We start from the raw sequence: 2,186 nt of genomic DNA on the forward strand, positions 1-2,186 counted from the left end.
GCTTCCCTCTTTTGAAAACATCCACACCACTCTGCATAGCTCCCTGCGACACCAAGAGCACCCGCCAAGGACCCAACAGGGGCTCCAGGAATTGATCCACTGTGACAATGAGCCCACTTTCCTTCTTTGAAATGCAGGCTCCAGAAATCTTTAGAGGCTTCTCCCAGGCAAACCTAGAGACATTCTAAAGGAGAAGGCCTGCTGGGAAAGGGGTCGGGGGCGGGTGTTAGTTCTGAGCCATTTTAGTTCTTCTAAATGTGGTCTGCATGACTTCTCAGTCATGGCCCCCTCTTTGGGTCTTGCCCGATACTCTCTCTCCGCGGTTCTCTTCTGCCTTGTTTTTCTAACCCATTTGGCACCTTACCTTACTTCCCATTCATTGTTTGGCTCCTGGGATTGCTGTCCCAGTTTGGAATGTTTATTTTGGCCCTGACTTTGCATTCTTCCAGGGACTTGGTTTTCAGTATTTACCTATCTGTACATTGCCCCATGACTCCCAGAGAGAAATACCTCCTTCCTCTGCCCCACCCTACCCACAGACTGAGTGTGTACTCTGGCCAGCCTCATCTGAGGCAGAGATAAGTCCATAATCGACAGTCATCCTTCCTTTCCTTCTACTTTGTGAAAGCTGCTGTTCCTTAAGTGTCTTGCAGAGGCAGGAGAGAGGTCATCGGAGTAAACCGATTCTATCCCCTATGGGAATTACTGGTACCCATTACCTACTTAACACTTCAGGTTATATCTTAAATATATGTTTGATTTTTAGAAGTCAGGAAATGTAACAATACAGAATGAATTATTTAATATTTGGGGTGCAAGAAGCCCCAAGCTGGTGTTAGTCGCTCCTTCCTGGGAGATGGAAACTCCTCACATCCACTGGGAGCTGTGTCTTGTCCCCACCTCTTTCCTTACTCAACTTCTGGATAAACAGATCCCATAAATGTTTAATTTTTTTTTCCAGTGGCTTTTGTGGTTGTCATAATGGGCATCAAAGGTATGGAAGAACATGGGTGCCCCATTTCTTGTGTGATTTGGGGGTTTGGGTAGTGAAATATACATTTGTTCTAACCAATGTTGCTTCTTTACTATTTCCTTTAAGTTGTTGCAAAAAGCTGGCATATGGAACTGCTGGCTTCGAATTCTGTCTTAAACATCCCTCCAATTATTACTTTTGTTTTCTCAGCTTCACTTAGTAGAAAAACTCCATAGAATGAAAGACATGGAGGGAAATAAAATTAGATTTAAGCAGGGCACGGTGGCTCATGCCTGTAATCCCTGCACTTTGGGAGGCTGAGACAGGTGGATCACTTGAGGCCAGGGGTTCGAGACCAGCCTGGCCAACATGGTGAAACCCTGTCTCTGCTAAAAATACAAAAGTTGGCCAGGCATAGTGGTGAGTGCCTGTAGTCCCAGCTATTCGGGAGGCTGAGGCAGGAGAACCGTTTGAACCCAGGAGGCAGAGGTTGCAGAGAGCTGAGATTGCACCAGTGCACTCCAGCCTGAGTGACAGAGTGAGACCCTACCTCAAAACAACAACAACAGCAACAACAAAATCAAAAACAAACAAAAAATAAATTAAAGAAAGGGATCAATTAGATTTTAAAGTAGAAAGTGACTGATGTCTTGAATTTCAGGTATCAATCCAGGTTCTGTTCCTTCCTTATACCTTGATGTAATGAACACTTATGAATTGCAGATAAGCAAAACCAGCTGCTAGGCATGGGGAATATTCACCTGCTTTATCTCTATGATAGATATTTTAAAATGTAATGAAACTATCAAGGTTAATAAACCAACTATCAAGGCCATTAACAGGTGACGTCTGGTTATATTCATGATCCACATGAACCTGAGTCAGAAATGCATATAAACTGTTGTTTGATTTTAGAGGCTCTAAGGGTAGGGAAACATCTAGAAATAACCATTTTTCTGTACTTCTCACCAAGTCTTTACAGAAAAAGTCACCCTAACTCCTAAACCCCCAAACAGGAGCCTTTGAAATTATTTATGCAGACAGTTCTCTCAATAATTGCCAAGCCCAGATCATTAGTAGTAATTACTCCAGTTGTTTTTATAAGGCTGATAAATAAAAGGTTTGAATCAACATATAAAACTTCCTAGAATGTACAAGATCTGTGAAACTCTTGTAACATAAAGGGATATAATGATACTACGGAAAATCAGCA

General features: G+C 42.6%; 1 annotated feature.

The window, feature by feature from the left end:
• Window positions 289-583: a silencer, noted in NCBI's record as "tiled region #6714; K562 Repressive non-DNase unmatched - State 21:Repr". NCBI's record gives its function as "represses a minimal TATA promoter and a strong SV40 promoter by Sharpr-MPRA in K562 cells {active_cell/tissue: K562}" and the evidence as "EXISTENCE:reporter gene assay evidence [ECO:0000049][PMID:27701403]".

This window comes from Homo sapiens, chromosome 8 (genome assembly GCF_000001405.40).
Source record: "Homo sapiens chromosome 8, GRCh38.p14 Primary Assembly".
In the NCBI taxonomy this organism is placed as follows: domain Eukaryota; kingdom Metazoa; phylum Chordata; class Mammalia; order Primates; family Hominidae; genus Homo; species Homo sapiens.